The sequence below is a fragment of the Homo sapiens genome, chromosome X (assembly GCF_000001405.40).
Source record: "Homo sapiens chromosome X, GRCh38.p14 Primary Assembly".
In the NCBI taxonomy this organism is placed as follows: Eukaryota; Metazoa; Chordata; class Mammalia; order Primates; family Hominidae; genus Homo; species Homo sapiens.
This window is the reverse complement of record NC_000023.11, coordinates 21949456-21976698: the sequence shown is the minus strand read 5'-3', so window position 1 is coordinate 21976698 and position 27243 is coordinate 21949456. Positions and strand designations below refer to the sequence as shown.

At 43.5% G+C, this 27243-nt stretch overlaps 1 protein-coding gene across 4 annotated transcripts in view; it reads right to left on the bottom strand.

Annotated features, from left to right (window-relative positions):
* SMS (spermine synthase) overlaps positions 1–27243 on the bottom strand; it is a 54129-nt gene that overhangs the window by 18139 nt on the left and 8747 nt on the right. For 2 of the 4 annotated variants that reach the window (NM_004595.5, XM_011545568.3), the window contains exons 2-4: positions 9383–9503; positions 4709–4802; positions 4128–4192 (exon numbers count right to left, since the gene is read on the bottom strand). In NM_004595.5, the coding sequence (NP_004586.2) occupies positions 4128–4192; positions 4709–4802; positions 9383–9503 (280 nt within the window). Of the gene's footprint in view, positions 1–4127; positions 4193–4708; positions 4803–9382; positions 9504–16709; positions 16844–27243 lie in introns of those variants that run through there. The other 2 variants (XM_005274582.3, NM_001258423.2) reach the window with 2 other exon arrangements.

The window sequence follows — 27243 nt, the reverse complement described above, 5'->3', positions numbered from 1 at the left end:
ATATGGTTATCTAGTACAGAGTCCATCTTCAAGTGTCCCCAGTTATATCCTTTATAGATGTTCTGCTCTTGAATAAAGGCTCATACACTGCATTTCCCTGTTTTTTTTTTCTTTTTTATCCTCATGTAACGTATAATTTTTTTTTTACTGGTATGTTTCATGACACTGATATCTCCAAGTACAGACCAGCTATTCTGCTGAAAAATGACTCGTGGGTTTACCTGATAATCTCTCACTCTTCATGGTTAGAATCAGGTTGACATATATTACACAGGCATCACATCGGGAACACAAGATGTGTATCTGTCCTATTATTGGTGATGCTAAGTCTGTGATCACTTGGTTAAAGTGGTATTCATGGGCTCTCTCCATTTGCAAAGGTACCTTTTTCACCCTCTGAAATTACTAAGCAGGCTGTGGGGTGGTGCTCTGAAACTAGGTAGAAGTCCTCACCCCCCAACAAACCTTTACCAGTGGTTTTAGCATGCAGAAGATTCTGGCCTGAACCAGTTACTACTACAGAGGCTGCAAAATGATGATTTTTTCATTCATTCTTTTGTAAATACCCGGTATTTTTCACAGGATGAATGTACTAGAAGGTACCAGCAGAGGACACTAAATGACAGGAAAAAAAAGACCTGGAAAAGGGGCTTGGCAAGTCTAACCCAAACACAAAGAAAACGAGAGCTCACTGCATACATAACACAACTGCGTGAGTCATGTGTTCTCAAACACAGTAGTGTTCAACATTAAAACGCCATGATGTACAGCTGTAGACATGTAAAATGCTGGGATATGCGGCCTGACGTACTCTTATGAGTCTCTTTCCCTTCCCTGCTCACCAGCTTCCAAGAGTACAGTCTAAACCTGTTACAAGTTAACAAGGCTTTCTATGAGGGAATACTAACATCTATAAAGAACACCGAGATTGAAAAGGCAAACTCCCATAAATTCATGTCATCCTGACAACTCTTCATTTAACCACTTCTTCACCTTCCATGTGAACAAATTCAGCTTTCAGAATGTGAGGCATTCTAGAGGGTTTTTCTTGTAAATTGTAAAATGTGAAGCACCAATCAGGACAACTGCTAGAGAGCAGGCGAACAGGACTTGGAGGAAGCCTCTTCCACCCCTGGCTGATGGTGGGGAGTGAGGTGAGAGTGAGCCACCCATGGCATTGGATGAACGACAAAGTCACTCACTTCCAGGGGAGGAAGACTACCCTCTCCTTGACAGCCAGCCACCTATCGGCAATTACTGCACTACAGGCAAACCCACTGAAACTAAACAGTGCCTGTTCTCAATTGTGTCAATAGTGCCTTGGCTAAGGTGAAGAGCTCTTTCCTACATTGTAACTCTATGGTTTTTTTAAAGACTAGCAAAGAAAGAAGGATCTTAACAGGATGTAAATGCCATTACCCTGATGAAGTGCTCAACCTAGCATTAAAGGGCATCTCGCTGGTAGCCCTATAACGGGCTACCAGGAGGTACTGTAGAGCACCCTACCAAACTCGTTTCAACCTTCACTGCTGAAAAATGAAACTGGACTACACCAATTCAGGTAGATTATAGCCCAGGCCTTAGGTATACTGTGTAAATTGCAAGAACCTTTTAAAATCAAAGTTAATTTATGTGACCTTGTTTTCTTGTTTTTTCACTTGAAAGTAGAAAACAAAAATAAATTCAAGTACATCCCATAGCTTCTTAGTCGAAAATTCAGACTTAACTTATCAAAGGGGAATAATTTCAGATAATGTTACTGGGTTATTTGTTAATGATTTAATCTCTAACATTTAACCTCTGATCTTTATTCTCCAGATTTAAAAAAAAAAAAAAAAAAAAGGATAGCAATCCTTGTCCTTTTGAGGCCAGTAACAAAGGGTTTACAACAAGGTATACCCAATTTCTAGCTGTCGTCAACCTTATTTCATGAAAAGATAATAAAAACTGTGACAAGCATAAGCAAGGTATTTTGAAGATCTAAAGCTTAACTCCACTCTTAGAAAACTCCTATACCAAAAAAGGAAAAGAACCAGACTTCTCATGAATGCTGAAGCCCATAAATGTATGCTGTTTACTCACTCCTAGAGGCAACTGATAAAAATCAGACCACATTTTGATGTGGACCAATTCATTATCATAAAGTTAAGACCCTTTCTGACAGTGGGGAACCTGTTCATTCCAAATGGGTGCAGATAAGGAAAACCCTGCCAACAGGAAAAGATGAAATGTCCAAAAAGTGGTATGGGTATATGGGTGTGGATGTGTTTTTAAAGGAAGGTGAAGGGTAAGAGACATGGCTGGGGACCCTAAACTGAGCTTGGGTGCTCCAAAAGAGCCTGAGTGCTCTAACAGATCTCAAAAAAATAGTTCTATACTGTGGCGTCTTCTTTTCACTTTCAGTTTCCTGCTTTCCTCTTTAACTACAGAAGGTTAAACAATTACCTAGTTATCTTACATCTGCTCTGGAGCTTTCTTGTGGGCTGATCAAACTTAGCATGCTGAGTAATTAAGTACTTAAACATCCTAACACTTGCCAATAAGGATTCCTTCTTCTGGAAAGTGCCATGAACTGGAGAAACCTGTATTTCCGTTGCTCAGCAATGAGGAAGTCCCTCTGTGTTGGTCTCTGCAACTGAGGTTAATTTTATGAGCAAGGGACAGGCCTTCTATGCCTTAAGGCCTGATGAGGATCCACCAAGGCAGGGCAAGAGTAAATTGTCCTGCATTTGCATGCTGTGTATCCAAAGCACTTCTTAATTCCCATGATGTACCAGACACTAGTTCCTTCCCACGATGTCCGAATTGCATTCTTTTAAAATCTGACACCACTGGCAAACACTTCGGCAGTGTCCGATAGAAATTTGGATGATGAAAATGTTCCGTAGTTGTACTGTCCCACATGGCAGACACTAACCACTAGCTATTGTGACTAAGGAACTGAATTGTGTATTTTAATTAACTTTAAATAGCCATGTGGGGCTAGTGCCCATCCCACTGGATAGGGAGAGCTTCATTTTCCTCATGATCACTTGAAAATAACCTGCCTATGGCAGCTTAAAGTTGGTGGCCTATCAATTCTTAGTATCTTGGAAAGTTTTCTTCTTTGAACGCCTTGAGGCAAATTTTCTTATCACCCCACCCTGTCGGAAGTCTCTTAAAATTGCTTAACTTCACTCTGGGGCCTAGAGCCTGAAGGAGAAAAAGTGACCTTTTCTCTTTCCTGGAAAGGTTGAAGTCAGGTATTTGTTTTGTTTTGTTTTGAGGCGAGTTTCACTCTGTTGCCCAGGATGGAGCGCAGTGGTGCGATCTCAGCTCACTGCAACCTCCGCTTCCCGGGTTCAAGCTATTCTCCTGCCTCAGCCTCCTGAGAAGCTGGGATTACAAGCACGTACCACCACGCCTGGCTACTTTTTCTATTTTTAGTAGAGACGGGGTTTCACCCATGTTGGTCAGGCTGGTCTCGAACTGAAGTCAGGAGTTTTCTAGCTCCCTTTGATGAGGTGGCAGCTCTACCTGGGTCTCCACTTTAGGCAGTTCCAACTCCTTGGAGTTGGTCCATATCCCCTTTCTGCCTTAGTTTCATTTTACCTAGCATTTGTGTGTGTGCATCCATGCACATGAATGTTCATACACTGTCTTGTTTTGGTGTGAGGGGCCCAGTAGTTCAGTTCACCATGTTGCCAGAAGGAGGTGCTGAGTTTGATCTTTTCCACATCTTAAGCAGACACTACTGGGGACCACACTGCCATTCTGAATTTTTTTTTTTTTTTTTTTTTTTTGAGACAGTCTCATTGTGTCACCCAGGCAGGAGTGCAGCGGTGCGATGATCTCAGCTCACTGCAACCTCTGCTTCCTGCCTCCTCGGTTCAGGCCATTCGCATGCGTCAGCCTTTCAAGTAGCTGGAATTACAGGCATGCACTACCACGTCCAGCTAATTTTTGTATTTTTAGTAGAGACGGTGTTTTGCCACATTGGCCAGGCTGGTCTCAAACTCCTGACTTCAAGTGATCCGCCTGCCTCGGCCTCCTAAATTGCTGGGATTACAGGTGTGAGCTACCGCGCCCAGCCAACTATGATTGTTTCAATCGATTAAATATAAAAGGACATTCAAGAGTGGACTTACCGTTTCACCCGCCCAGTACTGTCCTGACTCAATTCTTTCATTCTTTCCTCTACTTTGTTCAAAATCTACAATTAAAAGAAAAATCAATGGGCTTGTAGAATAAGCTGCATGGAAGAACTAAATTACAGACCCAACGACTGAGGCCATGTTGACAGAGCTGTGCAAGATTGACCTGTCCCTCCTCCTACCCTCTAGCAGCCTGTAGACGCCTGGCCCAATTCCACTCTCCCATACCAACTATCCCTTCATGTTGCTGACCTAACCTTAGCGTAAGTTAGCAACAAAGTAACACGGAAGAGGAAGGCTAAAGGGTACTGCAGCTATAAAATCCTGGTTAAAGGTTTTCTATTCCCTCCAGTGGAAAATAAGATTACTCATACTAAGGCAGTTAAAAGGGAACGCTGACACCCAGGTTCCTAAAAACAACTAAACAACTACTTCTATTCTAAAATCACTTATGTGGAGGGAGGAAAGTTTAAAATTAACTGGAAAGTAAGCAATGAAGAGAACATTATTTTAACACTAAGCTAAGCAGATACTATGATCCTTAAACACTGAGTAAATGAAAGTGAAAAACCGACACTGTCGATCTCTTCTTTGCCTTGCGCATCACCATCATAACTCTGAAGGTCCAGCAACACCAATCCATGTGGGTAAATTCTCAAATTGGCAAAGCTACAAAGGAAAATATAATTTTAAGCTTAAGAATTGTATCGGGGCATTAAAAAAAAAAGAGAGAGAGAGAGAGATGTCACCCAATTAAAAGACCACTGCTCTTTATTTCCCCAAAAGTATACAGTTAAGCTTTTTGCTTTCTTACTAGGGCTGCGTCTTGCGGGGAGAAACTACCAATCATTTGTGGAAGGTTTAGAGGGCATTACCAAATATTAAGGTTTTCAAAACTGGTTCTTGGGCCCAGAAAGTGATTCAGTAGCAGTTCTGTGAATCTGGTTTTTAAAAAGGTTCTCTAGGTAATTTTGCCAGGTTTAGTAACTACTGCCTTAAGAGGAAGGGAGTGTGGAGAAGGGTAAACTGGTTTTTCTCATTAACATTCAGAGTTCAAACCAGAGCCATTTTTTCCTAACTGCAGGCTGGTGGTAGGTAAATTAATTTAGTAGGCACTCTGGAAAATCCAGGCCAACTGCCTGCAAACCTAATCCATCCCACAGTATGTTTTTGTAAAGCCTGCAAGCTAAGTTAAGAATGGTTTACATTTTTAAAGATTTTTAAAAATGTGACAGCAACCTTTACACAAAATTTTCTGACCAGCCCTTTTTCTTAATGAAATAAACATATTTGAGTGTATCACATGCACCAAGATGTATTTGATGAAACTTCTGTTTTAGTTATATGCATGTTGGTTTTTTTTTTTCTGAGATGGAGTCGCACTCTGTCTTGCCCAGGCTGGAGTGCAGTGACATGATCTCGGCTCACTGCAGCCTCCACCTCCTGGGTTCAAGCGATTCTCCTGTCTCAGCCTCCCGAGTAGCTGGGACCACAGGCGTGTCCCACCACACCTGGCTAATTTTGTATTTTTAGTAGAGACGGGGTTTCACCATGTTGGCCAGGTGGGTCTTGAACTCCTGACCTCAGGTGATCCACCTGCCTTGGCCTCCCAAAGTGTTGAGACTACAGGCGTGAGCCACCATGCCCGGCCTATGCATGTATTTGTTTTGCATTTACACAGATGTGTTATTTCCAGGGTTATGATTACCTCCTACTACAAATTATAGGTAAAGAAATGTTTGAAAAATACTAAATTAGAAGATCAATTCTGTTCAGAGAATACAGACAGTGTGCTTGGATTAAAAAAAAAAAAAAAAAAACTAAAAATAATAAGCTAAGCATGGTGGCACACGCCTGTAGTCCCAGCTACTTGGGAGGATGAGGCAGGAGGATTCCTTAAGCCCGGGAGGTCAAGGCCTAAGTGAGCCATGATCGCACCACTGCACTCCAGCCTGGGCGACAGAGTGAGACCCTGTCTCTATAAAAAATTTAAAATAAAACAAAACTAGTTAATTTTTCACCTTCAGCCCTTAAGTGACCTCAGAAATCAAGTTCTTCCCCAGAGTCCACAAACTCTTCTACACCAGAATGAGAGGATCATCTTTCCTTTCCCTCCTTCACCAGCAGCAGAGAGGAGAGGGGGAAGGAACAATAGAGAAGTAAGGTCCCCTTTATCCACTTGGGTGGTTCTAGCATGAACACAGAGAATGCTAGAAGGCAGTGTCAAGGATTAAGGTGCTACTAGGGATAAAACCAGAAATAGAGGGGGGAAAGTGTGCCTGGGGTCCGGGGGCAGGGAATAGAGAACCTGAATAAAAGGTGGCTCAGGTCCTTTCCCCAAGCCCATGCATGGGTAGGAGAGGTGAGGTTTCAGGACAGGCACCTCGGGGTGGGTACCAGTTGACCAAGTGAGAGAGGAAGGAGACCAGGTAGAAAACTCTTAAAAACTAAGCTGGCCAGGCGCGGTGGCTCATGCCTGTAATCCCAACACTTTGGGAGGCCGAGGCAGGTGGATGGCTTGAGCCAGGAGTTCGAGACCAGCCTGGGCAACGTGGTGAAACCACGTCTCTATTAAAAACACAAAATTATCTGGATGTGGTGGTGAGTGCCTGTAATTCCAGCCACTTGGAAGGCTGAGGTGGAGAACTGTTTGAACCCGGGAGGCAGAGGTTGCAGTAAGCCAAGATTGTGCCACTGCACTCCAGCCTGGGCAACAGAGCAAGATTCGGTCTCAAAAACAACAACAACAACGAAAACCCTAAGCAGTTCATTTGGGGTTTTTGTTTTTGTTTATTGCTTTTCGAAGCAGTTTCCGAACAGCTCTTGTCACTCAAAAACCCCTTCTGGGAAGAATTCTAAGTCTCCTGTACAACTGGAATTGGTGCCTATGGTAGAAACTTCAATAACTGTCATACAGAGGTAGGCAGGGCCCAGCAGCAAAGGCCTTTAGGAGATAAGAAGTGCAACTTTTCACCTGGTGCTGGCTGAGGAGCCTGCCACCGGAGGCGGTGGATGATGAGTTCCAATTTGCTGTAGTCCCCAAAAGATGGACCACAGTAAAAACAGTGAGAGGCGGCAGGTACAGGGAGGGGCTCAGTGTAATCCTGCAGGAGCCAGAGGGCTCTAGGACAGCTACAGCCTCTGCTTCCAAGAGACCATCCATCAACTGGGTCACAGCAGGGAAGAAAAGGACACAGGGGAGAGGAGGGTTTGGTGGTGGTGTTCATATGAGGAAGAAATCATCATCTTAGATACATTTGAGGTATCGACTAAACACACAGGGAGGTTTGCTACACAGTTAGAAATACAAGCCTGGGCTTGGGGAAGAAGGGGTTAGGATGTCTTTGAGAGGTATCAGGATAGAGAACACCAATTAATGCCACAGGGGTTGGCCATGGAGACTTATAGAGAGAATAGTGGAAGGGGCAGTGAGCTCAAAAAGTACAGGTTTCCCTCATCTCTAGGTCTCTGGAATATCATGGAGGTGGGTACTTTTTCCTTTAATAGAGAAACAAAGAGAGAAAAAGTGGGACATTAAGGAAGCCACGTGGAATTCCAGTACTGGGTACCCACTGAGGTAACAGAATAAAAGCCATCGAAAATACCCCATCCTGGAGTTCACATTTTTATTTATTTTAATTTTTATTTCCATAGGTTATTGGGGAACGGGTGTTGTTTGGTTACATGAGTAAATTCTTTAGTGCTGATTCGTGAGATTTTGGTGCACTCATCACCTGAGCAGTACATACTGCACCCTATTACATTTCTAAATTAATAGTGCAAATTACTAAGAATCTTAATTAGTAGTTTTACATACTAAGCCAGTCCAGATATAATACAAACCAAGATTTAAGGAAATACCAAGAGCTCAACGCACTGGTTTCTTGTTATCAGTCATTTCTTAGTTTAGGTTTTCTTCTGCATTTTACCATGGTCTGCGGTAGCTGATCATCAGTCATAACAGTGCTACTCCAAGTGTGGTCAGCTGTCCAGCAGCATCAGCATCCCCCGGGAGCTTCCTGGAAATGGAATCTGGGCCCTGCCGCAGATCCACTTATTGCTTCAAGAACTCTTACGGTAGGGGCCCAGGAGATCATTGCCTGCCTTTTCAAACTGCTTATGCCACCAGGGGTTCTTGGTCCTGGCCACATAGAACCACTGGGGCTTTGGAGAAATCCAGATGTCCAGGCCCTGTGACCTCAATTTCTGGGGGAAATGCACGAGTGTTTCGTGAAAGCTCTCCAGAAACAGAGTAGAGAAGGGACCTGGGCTCCCCCCAACCGTAATAACACACTTACTTACAGAAATACCAGGCTCTAGGAGCCAGGAAGATGGCAAAGCGCTGCTTGAGGCTCTGTTCGGGCTGCCCCTGGGGCCCTGCAGCACTGCTGCTGGCCATCCTAGAGCAGGCAACCTCAGCCTGCACCCACCCTACTTCGAGCTGAGCAAGGGCATCTGCAGCTCAGCATCCTGCAGCGAGAAGGCCTCGGCATGCCCCCTACGGGCCTCTGCTGCAAACTAGTGGGTCCCCACAGGTGGTGGGCACCCCAACCAACCCATCCATCTGGACCCCAGCCCCTCCGATATCATCTCTGCTGACCAGAGACCTGGAAAACACTAAGATAAGCAGCTTCCTATGGTAAATCTTACTCCAGGGACTTAAGAGGCTGAGTTCTACCATAAACTTTTTACTCCAGGGAGTTGACCTACCGCTTGCAGGAGCCCAGTGAGCGATCCTGCCCGTCTTACTATTACGCTAAAGTCCCCGCCAAGAGCGGGGCTCACCAGCCACTTCAGGGTGTATACATTAGCAGGAGGCCTCACTGAGTCTGCACACCACTCCCTGGGTGCGTACCTGTAATGACACTCATCTACCTCATGAACTATTCACGTCACTCCCTTCAAAACATCACCTGCAGCTGCCCTTGGGGGAGTAAGCCACAAAACTTTTCCTGGGCTGCCTCCCTTATGCCCACTCTGGGCATCAGTCTTAACAAAAAACTTGTCTGGGAAACATGTTTGGCCTCCTGTCAATCTCTATATACATGAGAGCTTAAGAACCTGTGGTCAGTAACGCTACCAGGAGATTCTGATGTGCAGCTACGGTTGAGAAGCACCAAGTTCCATTCCCATCCTAAAAGATGTCAAAGGAGAAAAAAAAATGCCGGATGCCACCCCCATCCTCCACTCTGTCACCCTCTCTGCTCATAAGTGACCAGGTATGAAGAACAGCACTGGAGACTGCTCACCTGCCGTTCTTGTTTGTGTAGGTTGCTAAATAGCCATGGTCCTGCCAGGTGTGCACCGACTCCGCCATCCCCTGCTCCTGGAAAATGGACTGGAGGCCTTTTAGAATGGTCTCACCATCAGCTGGAGAACAAGGGGAAGAAGGCAAGATGGTCAGAAAGAAACGTTCAGAAGGAAGGCCAATGAGGCACAGTTTGAGGACTGAGCTTAAAAATAAATAAATAAGTAAATAAATAAATAAATAAATAAATAAATAAATAAAAATTAAAAAACCTGAACAAAGTTGTCAGTGTCACTTATCCCTTGTCATGACATGAGCGATAAACATTCTCCACCCTGCAAGGAAAGGCAACGCAGACCACCAGATTACACGACGGTAAGAACACAAAAGCCGACCACAAATAGCTGCGCCAAGGATGTAGACATATTCAGCCTAGAGACAGCATAACAAAATATTCACCCTAAGCAGAAATTAAAGAAATGCAAATAAATTCAAGTACAACAAATGAGATTCCACTTCAGGTTAAATAAATTAATGAGGACACATGGTACTAGAAAGGGGATACCTGTCCACTGCTGATGAGTAATATAAATGACAAGCTTTTTTTTCCCCATGTTTTACAAAAAGGATGTGCTGCTTTTATAACTGGAAAAAAATATCCAACAGTAATCCTCAGTAACATAGCTCTAAATGGTAGAAACTGGACAACGATTCCATATGGGACAACCTGCTGGCTTGTCGGTCTCCCCACCCCACCCCCATGGTCGCAGAAGCCAATCCTCCTGTCTCCCATCCTGCCCAGTGTCCTACTCCCAAAAGTGCAATCAGTGTTCCCAGGTAAAGTACATTAACCTCCGCAGGTTCACTTGAAGCCAGGATCTTCAAGAACATCCAACATTACAATACTTAGAATAAGGGGTAAATGCAATTTTTTCTTCTCTAGTTCTATCTACAAAGCAGGCATTCCCTAATAAATGTAAAACAAAGAACCAAGATATGACAAGAGGAATTACTCTTTACTTTCCCACCAGCCCTCTGAAGGCTGGCTCCTGTGAGGGGAAAAATATCAAAATGAAACATCTCTGTGACCTGAACAGAGGTAAAAGAAAAAAACAAAGAGTCACAGCTGATTGCAGTGTGATTTGCCAAGAAAATTACATTAGAATTTCTGCCATAAACTAAGTAGTGCCGAAACTAGAACTGGGAAGTTAAGGATTTTTTCACTATGCATAAAGAGTCTATCTCTAGTGACTTAGAACTGTGTTCCCAAGGCCACTGAATGAAGGCTACAAACGGGAAGTTTAGAGGCCAAAGTGGACAGATATGACTTATTCTGGCCTGCACAGACTTTTTTTATTTTTTGAGACAGGATCTCCCTCTGTCGCCCAGGTTGAAGTGCATTGGCGCAATCTCGGCTCAATGCAACCTCTGCTTCCTGGGCTTAAGTGATCCTCTTGCTTCAGCCTCCCAAGTAGCTGGGACTACAGGTGCGAACCACCATGCCCAACTAATTTTTATTTATTTGTTTTTTTTTATTTATTTATTATTTTATTTTATTTTATTTTATTTTGAGACAGAGTCTGGCTCTGTAGCCCAGGCTGGAGTGCAGTGGTGTGATCCTGGCTCACTGCAAGCTCCGCCTTCCAGGTTCACACCATTCTCCTGCCTCAGCCTCCCGAGTAGCTAGGACTACAGGCGCCCGCCACCACGCCCGGCTTTTTTTTTTTTTTTTTGTATTTGTAGTAGAGACGGGGTTTCACTGTGTTAGCCAAGATGGTCTCAATCTCCTGACCTTGTGATCCGCCGCGCCCGGCCCATGTCCAACTAATTTTTGTACATTTTTGGTAGCGATGGGGTTTCACCATATTGCCCAGGCTGGTCTCAAACTCCTGAGCTCAAGCAATCCACCTGCCACAGCCTCCCGAAGTGCTGGGATTACAGGCGTGGACCACCGCACCCAGTCCCTGCACAGACTTTTTAAAAGTGTAAATCAGTTGCCATTTAAAAATCAGAAGATTTCACTCTCTCCCACTGTAGTGGGTATAATGGTAGCACCAAAAAGATATATCCACATCTTAATCTCCAGAACCTGGGGATGTGACTTTCTTTGGAAAATGGTCTTTGTAGATGTAATTAAGTTAAGGATCTTGAGATAAAAGCATCTGGATTATCCAGGTACCCAGACCCTAAACCCAATGACAAGTGCCCTTATAAGAGACAGAAGAGAAGATACAGGGAGAAAAGGGGGCAGGTGACATAAGACGGAGGCAGAGATTGGAGTGATTAAGAGCAACATGCCAAGCCCAGGACAGCTAGAAGCGCACCAGAAGCTGAAGAGGCAAGGATGGATTCTCCCCTAGGGCCTTCTGGGGAAGCATGGGCCTGTCACGTTTTGATCTGGAACTTCTGGCCTCCAGAGCTGTGAGAGAATACATCTCTGCCATTGTAAACTATCCAATTTGTAGTACTTTGTTACAGCAACCCTAGCAAGCTAATACACCTGCCCAAAATTCGTTTTCAACTTTAACAATAGCAAACAGAATACTAAAAGTGGCAGTGAAAACATAATTTAATATTCGGAATTGTCAAGCAGAGCAGTTGATAGCCCAGCCAAAACTCATGGACAACATCTGGAACAAAACTAGATGACAGAGTGTAACCCTAAATCCCCAAACAGGTATAGGTAGAAATAAATGGGCCACAGCCCTGAGACCCTTGGGGTATCAGCAATTGAGATAGGAAGAAGAGAAAAAGCAACGGGACTTCAGACAGCCCTAAGAACTAGAGCAACCCCTTCCAAAAGTCACCAACAGGTGTTCACCCCCAAAGAAGTGGTTTCCTCCCCCTCAGAATGCAGGGGTCTGGCTAGCCAAAGTGAGGATGCAGCTGAAACTTGCAAGGACTTGGGTAGGGCTGGATGTCAGGGTGGTCAAGCCCTACAGATGGCCAAAATGAAAGAGCCTCCAAGAAAAAGTCCCACATCAGGGAGAAACTACCAGCGCAGAATCCATGTCACACTCCCACAGCAGCACAAGCATCTATAAACACCGAGCAGCGGTGGCCCAATGAATCCTTAAGCTCTCATTTGTTCCTAGCAAAACTGTGCCTTTGGGAAAGTCGTTTGGCAGAAAATAATCTAGCTTGCTTTGCTATTCTGAAATTGGTTTCAGGAAATTAAAAGCGAAGGTCTGAATTATATCCCCAGAACTGTAACATTTAAGACTGAATTCTACTTCACAAAAAAAAAAAAAAAAATCTGATTTCAAACTTGGTAAGATAAACTAACCTTGTTCAGTTTGTGTTTGTCACTGAAGTGTGGTTGGCCAGCCCACTGTGGAGGTGGCTTGAGTGTACTGAGCCAGGCAGAACTTTCCCTGAATCTGAAGAGCCATTCTGAAATTAAGCAATCCCTCCTTGGCTAGAACAGATGTTTTCTGTTTTGAAAGCATATAAAACAAATCATCACTCCTGGTAAATGGCCTCAAGATGGTTCTGTTGGCACATTACAAAACAGAACCCGAACCCCCATGCTGGTGAACGAACAATCTAGACAAGGCCACCCTGCGTGTAATTGACCAGGCTGTGCAGTGAACGAGGACCCTGGCCTGGGTGGCTGAGCTGGGGTGAACCTCATCCCTTAGGCCAAGGAAAGGGGGTGTCTTTGTCTGATCTATGCAAAGGCTTTGACTGCTGGCCAAGCCCAGTGTAGTGGCCATCCCCTTTTTCTAACTGGCACAATTAACAGAAAGGCACCGTGTGGGCTAAAGAAAGTCCTCCGGCCAGGTTTCAAACTGAAGGAAAAACTACACAAGAAATCCGATTTGAAGTATTACTTGTTCCCACACTATAGGCTTACCCGCCAAGTTCAGTAAAAACAGGCCAAAGCTGAACGTGTTTCTGGAAGCTCATTTACCCACAAGCCCTATTCATTTGTGCGGCCGCCTGGTCCCTGTGGGCATCTGAGTATGCTAGCCCTGCCAGGAAGGTGTCTGCAGGGCCTTATGGGGACACCACCATTTTGCCCACCATTCATCTCCCTTCATCCTCACCTTCCTCCTGATTTGGGGCCTCCCTGTCACCCAGCCCTTGGGGAAGACACTCCAGGAAGGGGAGCTAGAGCTGAAAACTCCGCAGTAGTATCTCTTTCCAAATCAGGGCTTTTAAAGTGAAAACAAAGCAAAAGCATGAGGTGGCTCACTTAGTCATCTTGATCCCAGGTGCTCAATAAATGTTTGGTGGCAAATAAAAAATTATTTTATTTGGCTGAATTCATCATCCTTTATTACTGTATCTTTGCAGAGGTTCAAAAACATCTAGACCAGTGGTTTACAATCCTAGCTGTGCATTTTCATTCACCCAGGGAGGCCAGGCATGGTGTTTCATGCCTGTAATCCCAACACTTTAGGAGGTCAAGGCAGGAGGATCGCTTGAGCCCAGGAGTTCGAGACCAGCCTGGGCAACGTGGTAAAATCTGTCTCTACCAAAAATACAAAAATTAGCCGGACATAGTGGCATGCCCCTATAGTCCCAGCTACCCAGGAGGCTGAGATGGGAGGAACACCTTAGCCTGGGAGGTGAAGGCTGCAGTGACCCATGATTGTGCCACCTCACTTCAGCCTGGGCAACAGTGAGACCCTATTTCAAAAAAATAAGTAATAATAATCACCTGAGGAATTTTTAAAAATTCCAATGCCACACATTAGGCCAATTAAGTAGAAATGTGGGGGTGGGCCCCAGGCATGAGTATTTTCAAAAGCTCCCTGGGAAATTCCAATGTCCAGCCACAGTTGAGAACCACTAATCTAAATCACCCAACACAAAAAAAGGAAAAGAAACCCCCTACCATTTCCATACCAGTTATACTCAACTCACCAAAAAGTTATAGAAAATGCTCAACAGAGGGGCTGAAAAAAGTTAGAACTCTTTACTAACTGAAGCCATGGGTAACCTGTCACATGCCCCAGAAAATGCTTTGTAATTATTCCAAATTTCAACCTTTATGCCTGTCTAGTATGGAACTTGTAAAATGACCCAACAAATCAGACTTGCTCTATCAGGGTTCCTTGATATCAGGGGTAAGGTTAACAACGTGGTAAGAAAGGCTGCCCTGTCTTTCACAGGACTTTGGTAACCCCAGCCATACCCACTAAATGTCAGGAATGCCCTTGCTTGTCAATAAAAGACCCCACACCCCAACTGCCCCAAGGGCAGGAGAGGGGCAATACAATCCCTTGAGAACTACTAGATGCTCTATACACAGGTGAAAACGAGCCTGAGGTCAGAATATACCCAAACTTGAGAACACAGGATAGCAAGGTCGTAAGTGTCCACAAATCAGAAGAAAATGTGAAGACAGGTTCAAATGCTAACAGAGCTCATCACACTACTTTGAAGGAGACATAGTCATCCAAATTAGGCCAATGAAATGTTCTTCTTTGGCAGAAGTTCTCTGAAAATTCACTTCAATGGCCAGGCTAGAACAACATATTGTAACTAGTAGATCAGTCAGCCTTCCAAAGCGCTCAGAAACACAGTGACCTCTCCCAAGGCAAAACGTGTCCTTTGTCTACTGAACAACGCAATGTCCCCATTTCCAGCCCACTGCCTACTTTGTGTGTTTGTTCAACAACAACTTAAAATGAATAAACTGGTCCAAATTAAATACACCACTACTAAAGGAAGGGAAGGGAAGACAGGAAGGGAAAAAAAAGAATCAAGGCCTAAGCTTCACCCTCCTGCCTCATTTTCTACCAGGGAACCATTTACAGGCCCGTCTTGGAGAAACTCATTCTTCTGACCCGGAGCATCAGCTCCAGATGCCCAAAGCACAAATCTGTGTATCTAGCTGGAACCTGCCTCCCGTGCAACTGCTCCCAGCACTGTTCCAATCACAAGTCTTGGATCAAAATCAGGCTTGTTACTTCCCTACTCTCATCGATGGTTACATCACCAGCCACTTAACATTCCCCATAACAGGCTCCCCCAAGCCTCCCACCAGAGCCTACCCCAACCAAACTCACTGGCCAGGACTTTTCACTTACAGACCTAACTTCCTCATAAAGTAGAAACACTACTTTGTAGGGTTCCTATATAGAACCCAGAATCAACATCAGTTCCTTCCTTCCCTCATGGTCTTGTACTGCTATTTAATCACTGATCCACATGGTATGCAGCCCCATGTGCATAAAGTAGATTAGCTGTACTAGCCAACCTTACTAGGCCAGGGAGTCACTCTGAATCAAAATCGAACCTGGCACCAAAAAAAAAAAAAAAAAAAAAAAAAGACATGCATATAATATTCCTGCTCCTCCTTCAGCTTTGAGAATCTAACATCCTCCTCAACAAACTAAATTCCATTAGAGGCTGCCCTAAGGAAATATGCAATTCTCACACATCCAGAAAGACAAAAAACAATAACAAAAAAACCTCTCTCTACTTGTGACCTTGGCTTGTGGCTGTTTTTTCAACTTCAAAAACTTTAGCTAAGAAAACTCAGGCCATGAGCACACAGGGCTTTCTGAAGGCTACACAACTCCAACTGTCTTGTGTGTTGTCAACACCCCTCCCCTCAGGCAGAGCCATCAGATTCCACAGGCCAGAGCCTTGACGTTGTCCTCTGCAAAATGAGGCGGTTGGAACAGAAGATTTAGCTCTCTCATGGTCAAGGTCATGTATATTTTAACCACAGTACAAACTGTATTAGTACGGTCATTTAAAATAAGCTTTTATTAATACAGAAAGAAGCAATATGTGTATTTTTAAAATTAGAAAATATAGGCAACATGCAAAATGAATAAAATGTTTTCATTTCTACCACCCTCACTGAATGTAGAACTTCTGATCTGAAATGAGCCTTCTGCTGTACATGTTTGATAATCTACCTTATTGTATACATGATCTATACATTAAAAAAAAAAAGGAACAGAAGATTTACATTCACATTCCTTTCAGCTCTCTCATGGTCAAGGAGCACCTGGCTTGTGAAATTGGGAGATGAATTTCTATTCTCGCCAAGCATATTTTTAGTTATGAAGGCTGAAAATTTCATACCTCACTATCAAAAGCCCCTTTCCCTCCTAGGTCTCTCCCAGAACTGGCTCCAAGGGGTGTTTAGTCATCCCCATCATCGCATCATGCCAAGTGATAAGACCCAAAGCCGAACCTCCAGCCCACCTACTGCTCCAGCAACTGCAGCCCCAGCCACCAAAGAACTGCCGAGATTTCCAGAGCTCCAAGCCCTCACTCACACTTTATTCTCAGTGCCCCTACACACACACACACGGATGTACACACAGACAGTCACTCACGCCTTCCCCGCCCATGCTTACCACTTGCCACCTAAGTCCAAGGGCCCACCTTTGGTCAGGCTTATACCCGGCCCCTTCTTGCCTGCTCCTTTCAGGGATCTGCACTCTCTCCACGGGAAGATGGTGTGCGAGCTGGCTGGCAATAGAGCCAGTCTGCAACTCCCCCGCAAGGGGAAGCACAAACGCAGGCATCCTTTCCCCTAAACCCCAGATCCTAACGTCAGATAACCTGACAGCCAGGCTCAGGTTGTGCACAATGTCCCTTCACACATAAAGCAGCTTTCTGATTTTTCTTGATAGACCCCTAAACCTAAAAGAGGAAAGGAAACTGGATTCCAATCCAATTTGAAATCAGGTAGCTGCTTTAAAACCACGTTCAGATGTTTCTAATCTTGATACTAGTGGTGGTTACACAACTGTATGCATTGGTCAAAACTCAGAACTGGTACACTAAAATTTACATAAATTATACCAAGTTAAAGAAGTATCTGTTCAGAAGTCACCAACACCACTGGCATAACCCCTCTGAAAAGAATGACAAAGAGCGCGGCATCCCTCAAGTCTCCTTTTCACCCAAGCCCATGGCTGAGCACTGCCTAAGGGTCTGAGAGCATCTTCTGAACTCAGAATGTGCTAAGTCCATCAAAAGCACGAAGACTGACAGGCAGCAGGTCCAGATTACAGAAATCAAGTGATATGCAAAAAAGACTTCAATTTCACAAATGAAAATTCTAGTTTACAATTAAAAGTTTAACTTAATTTTAAAAAAGGATCTGCCTATTAGACTTCTCAGATATTAGAAGCTTAATGAATTTCTAGGTCAAGCAGGTGGTCCTTTGGCATGCCTTACTTAACAGCTTGGCTTTATAGCCCTATGTCTAGTCCTTTTTACAACAGCTGCATGATGATGAAATGAAGCTCATGACACACAACCCAAGCTGACACAGATGTTCACAGTAGCATGATATGCAATAGCCAGAAAGTAGAAACGACCCAAACTTCCATCAGGTTATAGATGGAGAAGCAAACTGTGGTTATCCACGCACTATTCAGGCATAAAAGGAACGAAGTACTGATACACGCTCCATACAACACGGTAGGACCTTAAAAACACTATGCTAAGTGAAATAAGTGATTCTATTTGTTATGTCCAGAAAAGGCAAATCCTTAGCCGTGTGTGATGGCACATGCTTGTAATCCCAGCTACTTGGGAGGCTGAGGCAGGAAAATCGCTTGAACCCGAGAGGCGGAGGTTGCGGTGAGCCGAGATGGCGCAATTGCACTCCAGCCTGGGCAACAAGAGCAAAACTTTACCTCAAAAAACAAAACAGAAAAGGCAAACTCATAGAGATGTAAAGCAGATTAGTGGTTGCCAGAGGCTGGGAAGAATGCGGGGAGGAATAAGGGTGATGGCTAAGGGGCACAGGGTTTGTTTTTGAGGTGATGAAAATGTTCTAAAGTTGATTGTCATGATGGTCACGCAACCGCAAATATCCTGAAAGCCACTGAATTGTACATGTTCGATAAAGGAGTTATATAGCATATGAATCATATCTCAATAAAGCTGTTCCCCAAAAATCCCAAACTAACACGCTGAGCCTTCAGAATCCCACTTACGGCAAGGTTGCCAAGGCAACGGAGAAGACTCAGAAGTTGGTTTCTCCACTGGCAAGCCACACGTAGAAGAAAGAAACTGGATCCTCATCTCTCACCTTATACAAAAAACCAACTTAAGGTGGATCAAAGACTTAAATCTAAAACCTGAAACCATAAAAATTCTAGAAGATAACGATAACATCAGAAAAACTCTTCTAGGCATTGGCTTAGGCAAAGAATTCATGACCAAGAACCCAAAAGCAAATGCAACAAAAACAAAAATAAATAAATAGGACCTAATTAAACTAAAAAGCTTCTGCACAGCCAAAGAAATAATCATCAAACAGATAACCCATAGAGTGGGAGAAAATATTTACAAACTATGCATCTGACAAAGGGCTAATATCCAGAATCTACAAGGAACTCAAATAAATCAGCAAGAAAAAAAAAAAAAACAAATATTCCCATCAAAAAGTGGGCAAAGGACATGGGCAACAGACAATTCTCAAAAGATAAACAGCCAACAAACATGAAAAAATGCTCAACATCACTAGTTGTCAGGAAAATGCAAATTAAAACCACAATCAGATACCACCTTACTCCTGCAAAAATGACTACAATTAAAAAGTCAAAGAAATAATAGATGTTGGCGTGGATGTGGTGAAAGGAAACACTTCTGCACTGCTGGTGGGAATATCAACTAGTACAACCACTATGGAAAACAGCATGGAGATTCCTTAAAGAACTAGAAGTAGAATTACCATTGCATCCAGCAGTCCCATTACTGGGTATATACCCAGAGGAAAAAAAGCCATTATTTGAAAAAGAAGGCCGGGCACGGTGGCTCACACCTGTAATCCCAGCACTTTGGGAAGCCAAGGTTTGAGGTCAGGAGTTCGAGACCAGCCTGCCCAACACGGTGAAACCCCGTCCCTACTAAACACAAAAAAACTAGCCGGGTGTGGTGGCAGGCGCCTGTAGCCCTGGCTACTTGGGAGGGTGAGGCAGGAGAATTGCTTGAACTCAGGAGGTGGAGGTTGCAGTGAGCCGAGACGGTGCCACTGCACTCCAGCCTGGGTGACATAAAGAGATTCTGTCTCAAAATAAATAAATAAAATAAAAATGGACCCAGCTGAGCCATTCTCAGATTATTAATCCACATAAACTGTGATTATGTGTCAGGTGACTAAATTTGTGGTAACTTACTGTACAGCAATAGAAAACTAATACATACATTCTTATGCAAAAAAAAAAAAAAAAAGTAGTTGGTTTCTCCTCCTCCTCCACCACAAGCTGCCCACCAGGCACGGGCTCAGATGCAACACGCATCAGGTAAAGGGGCTGCAAGGAGTGGTCTTCTCTACCTGTCCCCATCTATCATAGACTACCAAGTATCTGAGTGGCTGCGGTGTGTAGGCACTGTCACTGCACAGTGAGGTGGCTGGTGCCCAGCTCCCACACAGCTTTCCTAACACTAAAGTGCCTGCAGCCAATCTCAGGCCTCCATGAGGTATGGCTGCAAAATACAGACAGGGGCCAGGCGTGGTGTTTCACGCCTGTACTCCCAGCATTTTGGGAGGCTGAGGCTGGAGGATCACTGGAGACCAGCCTGGGCAAAATGGCGAAACTCCGTCTCTGCTAAAAATACACCGGGCACGGTGGCTCACACCTGTAATCCCAGCACTTTAGGAGGCCAAGGCGGGCAGATCACAAGGTCAGGAGTTCGAGACCAGCCTGAGCAACATGATGAAACCCCGTCTCTACTAAAAACACAAAAATTAGCCGGGCGTGGTGGCGCATGCCTGTAATCCCAGCTACTCAGGAGGCTGAGGCAGGAGAATCACTTGAACACAGGAGGCGGAGGTTGCAGTGAGCCGAGATCGCGCCACTGCACTCCAGTCTGGGTGACAAGAGCAAGACTCCATCTCAAAAAATAAAAAAATAAAAATAAAAATAAAAAAAAATTAGCCAGGTGCAGTGGTGCGTGCCTGTAGTCCCAGCTACTCGGGAGGCTGAGGCAGGAGAATTGCTTGAGCCCAGGAGGCAGAGGCTGCAGTGAGCTGAGATCTTGCCATTGCACTCCTGCCTGGGTGACAGAACAGAGACAGTGGCGTGAAAAATTTACAGGACTTTTTCATAGAATGGTTTCTGATGTTCACAGAGAAGAGCAACCAGACAAGAAAAATTAACTACAGAAGAAAAACACAACACCAACACAGAAATGACACCCAAGCTCTTTTCATGCAAACATGCACTAAGGGAAGCCATGTGGGCATGTTTACAGAGTACCAGCCACAATGACTACTTCTTAAAACTCAATGCACTAAGTTATAGCATAACTTAAATGTGTTGCTAATTATTTCACTGCCCTGCCTTGTCATTCCCACTGCAAGGGAGAGCATTTCCCACAGACACTGGGACTGGGGAGGGCAGCATCTTGCTGGTTGTCAAGTGATTCAAACTCACCCATCCTCACCCTTCTGATTTAACCCGTATGAGAGTCAAGACTCAGAAAACAAGGCACAGACAAAAGACAGTATACTAAAGCCTGCCTTTCATCTGGAAGGAATATTATCCATTAGTTTGTGGCTATGAGACACTGAATAACCAGGCCACTTGACCTCTCCTGAAAGGAATCATGCAAACAACGTAAGGTATCCTACGATGCTCTTCAGTGGGCCCCGTCAGCTTAAGGACCATGTTTTTTGAGAAGAGGAAGGAACTCTGGCCCAGAGCGGTGGAAGAGAACCAAGGCAGAGGATTAGGAAAAGAGATCAGAACCCACAGAAAAGCAGGGGGTGGGGGTCATGCTACAACCCAACAGAAAGGAGAAGTTAGAGAAGTAACAAAAAGAAGGTTTTGAGAGGGGACTTGCAGTGTTTGAGGTCAGGGAACAGGAGATGACTCAGGAATGCATCTGGACCAGGTAAAGTGACCAGCCCTTACTTTTAGTTCAAAATTGGCATGTGACGTGTGGAGACGGCCCCAGCCACCAACCTACATTCACCCCCTCATCACAGAGGGGCAGGCTGAAACAGAGGACACAGGTTGGCCCTGGTCAAATGACAATGGTTTCCTTTAGCTCCGTCCAGAAGGGGAAACAAGATTTCTTTGCCAAAGTAGAAACCATGGGATTGCCAGTTTTATTATCTGGGAAGGATGAAATATGCTTTCTGAGCACTGTAGCACTATCATGAACATCCAGCTTTCTTCTCACTAACCTTAACCGGGCAGAATCCCTTACAGGTCATACCATTTTTGTGTTTAAAAATAATTCAAGGCCGGGCGCAGTGGCTCACGCCTGTAGTCACAGCACTTTAGGAGGCCAAGGCGGTCGGATCATTTGAGGTCAGGAGTTCAAGACCAGCCTGACAAACATGGTGAAACTCCGTCTCTGCTAAAATATAAAAATTAGCCCGCTGTGGTAGTGGGTGCCTGTAATACCAGCTACTCGGGAGGCTGGGGCAAGGGAATCCCTTGAACCCAGAAGGCAGGGGTTGCCGTGAGCCAAGATCACGCCACTGCACTTCATCCTGGGCAACAGAGCAAGACTGTCTCAAAAAAAAACAATACTTCAAGGGTTCTGTCTGAGCATCTATGCCAGGCTGTGTATCAACAATGAAATAGCATTTCCAAAGATAAAACAGTCTGGACTTTGGGAATTGTGTGATGTCAAAAAAAAATATCACATTTATATTAGACCGTACTTGATACACATGTCGCTGAGGAGGTCCCTCTGCCTTCCCTTCCTGTGGCTTTACCAGAGTATATTAGCCAAGACCACATTCAACTGGGCCCCCAAGGAGATTACTCAGCACCTAGGAGGTGCTGGACAAGTAAGTGCCACTGGAGAATAAAGATGAAAGACAGAGGACACAAGTCAAAACTACTCAAACACAGAGATGGCCGTGCACTATGATGGATTCCAGACGAGAAGGCAGCCATGTGAAGGGCTTGGAAATCTGTACTTCCAAATTTTTCCAGATGGCTCTGAAACGGGCAATCAAAATCATTGCACCTAGATGGTCTAAAGGCAGGAACGGGCAAGCTTTTTCTGTAAAGGGCCACGTGGTAAAGCATTCTGGCTAAATCAGGTTTCTGTCACATATTCTTTGGTGTGTGTGCTTTACAACCCTTTTAAGATGTAAAGATCATTCTTAGCTGGAGGGTCACACAAAAACAGGCCAGATGAGCAGAATCTGGTCCAAGGACTTCAGAACATTCTTAGCATTTGAAACTAGAATAATCTGAGGAATATTTCCTATATTCAAGTTAGCAATTTATTGTGTTGAAAAAAGAACAGCTAACAACCAACATAACTAAGACTCTTGCTTTTTAAGGAATACGTCGAACATTATCAACTAGTATCAACAGAAACTGCATACTAGAGAATGAGAATACTTAAGAGTACCGAATTCCACTTTAAAATCTCAAATTCCTAATCCACACTAGTACTTCAAGAACCTAGAAAAAGAGAAAAGTCCAAAGCAAAAAGAGAAGGATAACAGCAAAAAAAAAAAAAAATCAATAAAATTGATAAAAACTAGAGGAGAAAAAAATTAAGCAAAGAGCTATTTCTTTGAAAAGATTATTAAGATAAACTCTAGCAAGACTTACAAAGAAAAAAAACCAGATTGCCAATATTAGGAATAACAGGAGATATCACTGTGGATACTCTGCAAGCACCAACAGGATAAGGGAATACTACAACTCTACACACATAAATGTGGCAACTTAAGAATGAAATGGGGCAATTCCTCTAAAAACACAAACTAATGAAATAGGAATTAAAAGAAATTAAAGAATGTGTAAGCAGAAACTCAGTTGTATGCAAGAAAACCCAGTTCCCGCTGAGAAAGAGAAAGAGCTGGAGTCCTTTAAAAATTAACTGCTTGTTTTTCTGTGGCTAGTGAGCCTTATCTCTCCTCCTTTCCCAGGCATTGTGAAGACCCTGTTTCTCTAGCTGTGCAGCTGCAAGGTCACTAGACAAACTCAAGTCGTAAAACATGTTTTTCCTTAAAAAGTAAGAAATGATGTAATGCATGTCTCAATTAACTGAATAACTGTCTTTGTTTCTTGCTTCTGTAATATGCTCCCCCCTGCACAGATCTCCCCCTGCCCCCACGAAATGCTTAAAAGGTAACTTAACTCTTTGTTCACGGCTCAGTCCTTTGAATGTTAATCCGACTGGGCCGGTGCACCTAAATAATAAATATCCTCCTGAACCCCATTGGTCTCTCTGATGCCTTACCAATCCGGCTACACTACCACAACTCACCGAATATGAAATAACATGAAGAGTCCTATAACTGTTAAGGAAACTGAATTTATAGCTTAAAAATTCCAGAAAGAGGCCAGGCATGGTGGCTCATGTCTGTAATCCCAGTACTTTGGGAGGCCAAGGTGCGTCAACTGCTTGAGGTCAGGAGCTTGAGACCAGCCTGGGCAACATGAGGAAGCCCTGTCTCTAAAAAAAAATACGAAAATTAGCCAGTGATGATGGTGCGTACCTGTTGTAGTCCCAACTACCTTGCGGGGCGGGAGGGGAGGGGGGTGAGGCAGGAAAATTGCCTGAGCCCTGGAGGTCAAGGCTGCAGTGAGTTGAGATTACACCACTGCATTTCAGCCTGGGTGACACAGCAAGACCGTCTCTCAAGAAAAAAAACACTCCAGAAAAGAGATCTTGAGACAAAGATGGTTTCACTGGAGAGTTCTACCAAACATTTAAAGAATTAACACCAATTCTACACAATCTCTTCCAGAAGGGAAGGCCTCCCTATTTTATGAAGCCAGTATTATGCTAATACCAAAACCAGACCAAGACAGTCCAAAAAAGAAATCTATGGACCAATATCCCTCATGAGTATAGACACAAAAATCCTTGACAAAATCATTAGCAAATAGGATTCAGCAATATAGAAAAATATGCCATGACCAAGTGAGATTTATTCCAGGTATACAAGGCTAGTTCAACATTCAAAAAAAAAAAAAAACAAACAAACAAACAACGTGATCCACCATAATAGGTTAAAGAAAAAAACCCACATTTTATATTAATTTATGCAAAAAAGAACCTGACAAAATCCAACACTCATTCAAGATAAACACACAAAAATGGGAATAGAGGAGAGCTTTCTCAACTTGATAAAGGGTATCTACAAAAAACCTACAGTTAGCATAATACTCAAAATGGTAAAAGACTGCTCTCCCCATAAGGTCCAAAAACAAGGCAAGGATGTCTGTTCTCACAGCTGCTATTCAAGGGTAACCAAAGTATAGCCAGCACAGTAAGGCACATAGATTAACAACCTGCCCAAGGTCACACACACTAGTAAGTAGTGGAACCAGGATTCAAACCCCAACAGCTGGGCTCCAAAATCCAGTGTTTTTACGTACAACATTGTTATATATGCAACAAGAATAAGCAAGCCATTTGTACCACACATCAAAGTGGTTATCTACTTGTGACAGTATCACAGTTGTATCCCCTCTTTCTTTACATTTCCCTAACCCCATAGTGTAAAATGAGCAGATGTAGTAAAAAGACAAATGCACAAACCACTACTTGAACAGTTCCTGCAGCCTTCTGAAGCAAAGCCAGACCCTTTGTTCAAAGAAATAAATTACAGGAACTCCACTAAAAATTTAGCAGTCACAAAATGCTTAAAAAAAAAAAAAGCCCCTAAACCTGACAAAAACAAGCAATGGGGAAAGGATTCCCTATTTAATAAACGGTGCTGGGAAAACTGGCTAGCCATATGCAGAAAACAGAAACTGGACCCCTTCCTTACACCTTATACAAAAAATTAACTCAAGATGGATTAAAGACTTAAATGTAAAACCCCAAACCATAAAAACCCTAGAAGAAAACCTAGGCAATACCATTCAGGACATAGGCATGGGCAAAGACTTCATGACAAAAAAACACCAAAAGCAACTGCAACAAAAGCCAAAATTGACAAATGGGATTTAATTCAACTAAAGAGCTTCTGCACAGCTAAAGAAACTATCATCAGAGTGAACAGGCAACCTACAGAATGGGAGAACATTTTTGCAATCTACCCATCTGACAAAGCTCTAATATCCAGAATCCACAAAGAACTAAATTTATAAGAAAAACATAACCTCATCAAAAAGTGGGTGAAGGATATGAACAGACACTTCTGAAAAGAAGACATTTATGCAGCCAACAAACATATGGGAAAAAAGCTCATCATCACTGGTCATTAGAGAAATGTAAATCAAAACCACAATGAGATACCATGTCATGCCAGTTAGAATGGTCCTTATTAAAAAGTCAGGAAACAACAAATGCTGGAGAGGTGTGGAGAAATAGGAATGCTTTTACACTGTTGGTGGGAATGTAAATTAGTTCAACTATTGTGGAAGACAGTGTGGTGATTCCTCAAGGATCTAGAACCGGAAAAACCATCTGACCCAGCAATCCCATTACTGGGTATATACCCAAAAGATTATAAATCATTCTACTATAAAGACACATGCATACGTATGTTTACTAAGCACTATTTACAATAACAAAGACTTGGAACCAACCCAAATGCCCATCTATGATAGACTGGATAAAGAAAATGTGGCACATATACACCATGGAATACTATGCAACCATAAAAAAGAATGAGTTCCTGTCCTTTGCAGGGACATGGATGATGCTGGAAGCCATCATTCTAGGCAAACTAACACAGGAACAGAAAACCAAACACCACATGTTCTCACTCATAAGTGGGAGCCCAACAATGAGAACACATGAACACAGGGAAGGGAACATCATACACCTGGGCCTGTCAGGGGGTGGGGGGCAAGGGGAGGGAGAGCATTAGGACAAATGCATGCAGGGTCTAAAACCTAGATGACAGGTTGATAGGTATAGCAGACCACGATGGCACATGTATACCTATGTAACAAACCTGCACGTTCTGTACTGCATCCCAGAACTCAAATTAAAAAAAAAAAAAAAAAAAAAGTCCTGTCATATTCTTGCATCTCATACCAAAGGGAGTTAATAGTAAGCTCTTTCCTCTCTCTTCTCAACATCAAGCCTCCAGCTCCAAATTAGACAAACCCCCACGTAGGAACAAACACTTGGACTGAGAAACCCATGACCATCTTCCTCAAAATTCCACATGCAACTGGGCCACTTAGCTACTGCCTTATACAGTTAAAAGATTCAGTGTTAAGCCATTTATAAAACTTCAGCCAGGTACTGCAGTGTGCACCAGTAACATTAGTGACTCAGGAGTCTCAGGCTGGAGGATCCCTTGAGTCCAGGAGCTCGAAATCAGTCTGAGCAACACAGCAAGACCCCATCTTTGAAAAACAAAAACAAAAAACTATGCCACTACTGTTTTCCAAAGCATGATCCAAGGCACTGGCCCTGAAAATACACGTTGAATATCCTTTATCCAAAATGCTTGGGACCGAAAGTGTTTTGGATTTTTTTTTTTTTCCACTTTGGAATATCTGCATCACACTCACTGACTCAAAGTCCCTAATCTGGAAATCCCGAATCAGCATTTTTTTGTGTTATGTCGGTGCTCAAAGTTTCAGATTTTGGAGCATTTCGGATTAGGGATGCTCAACCTGTACTCTAAGAAAAAGGATTGAGGAACAGTTCTATATTCACCTCTGCACTGTAAGGCCAGCAAAGGAATTTGGAATGCCCACAGGCACATAAGTCTTGTTTGAACACTGTGATCTACAGTCCTTCTAGAAGGGAGAATTCAGAATTAAATACAGCAGTGTTCTAGGAATTGCTCAGGATTCTCACTGGAGAAATTTTCATTTATGAAAAAAAATGGAGTCATGCAACACAAGTAATTGATATCTTAAATCAAAGTGTCCTTTTAAAATTCTGCTTTAATCACTTAGGGAGGAAGCCCTTTAAATAAAGTAGACCAACCTTCAAAACACAGGGCAACCCATTATTTTCTGCCTCTTCTCT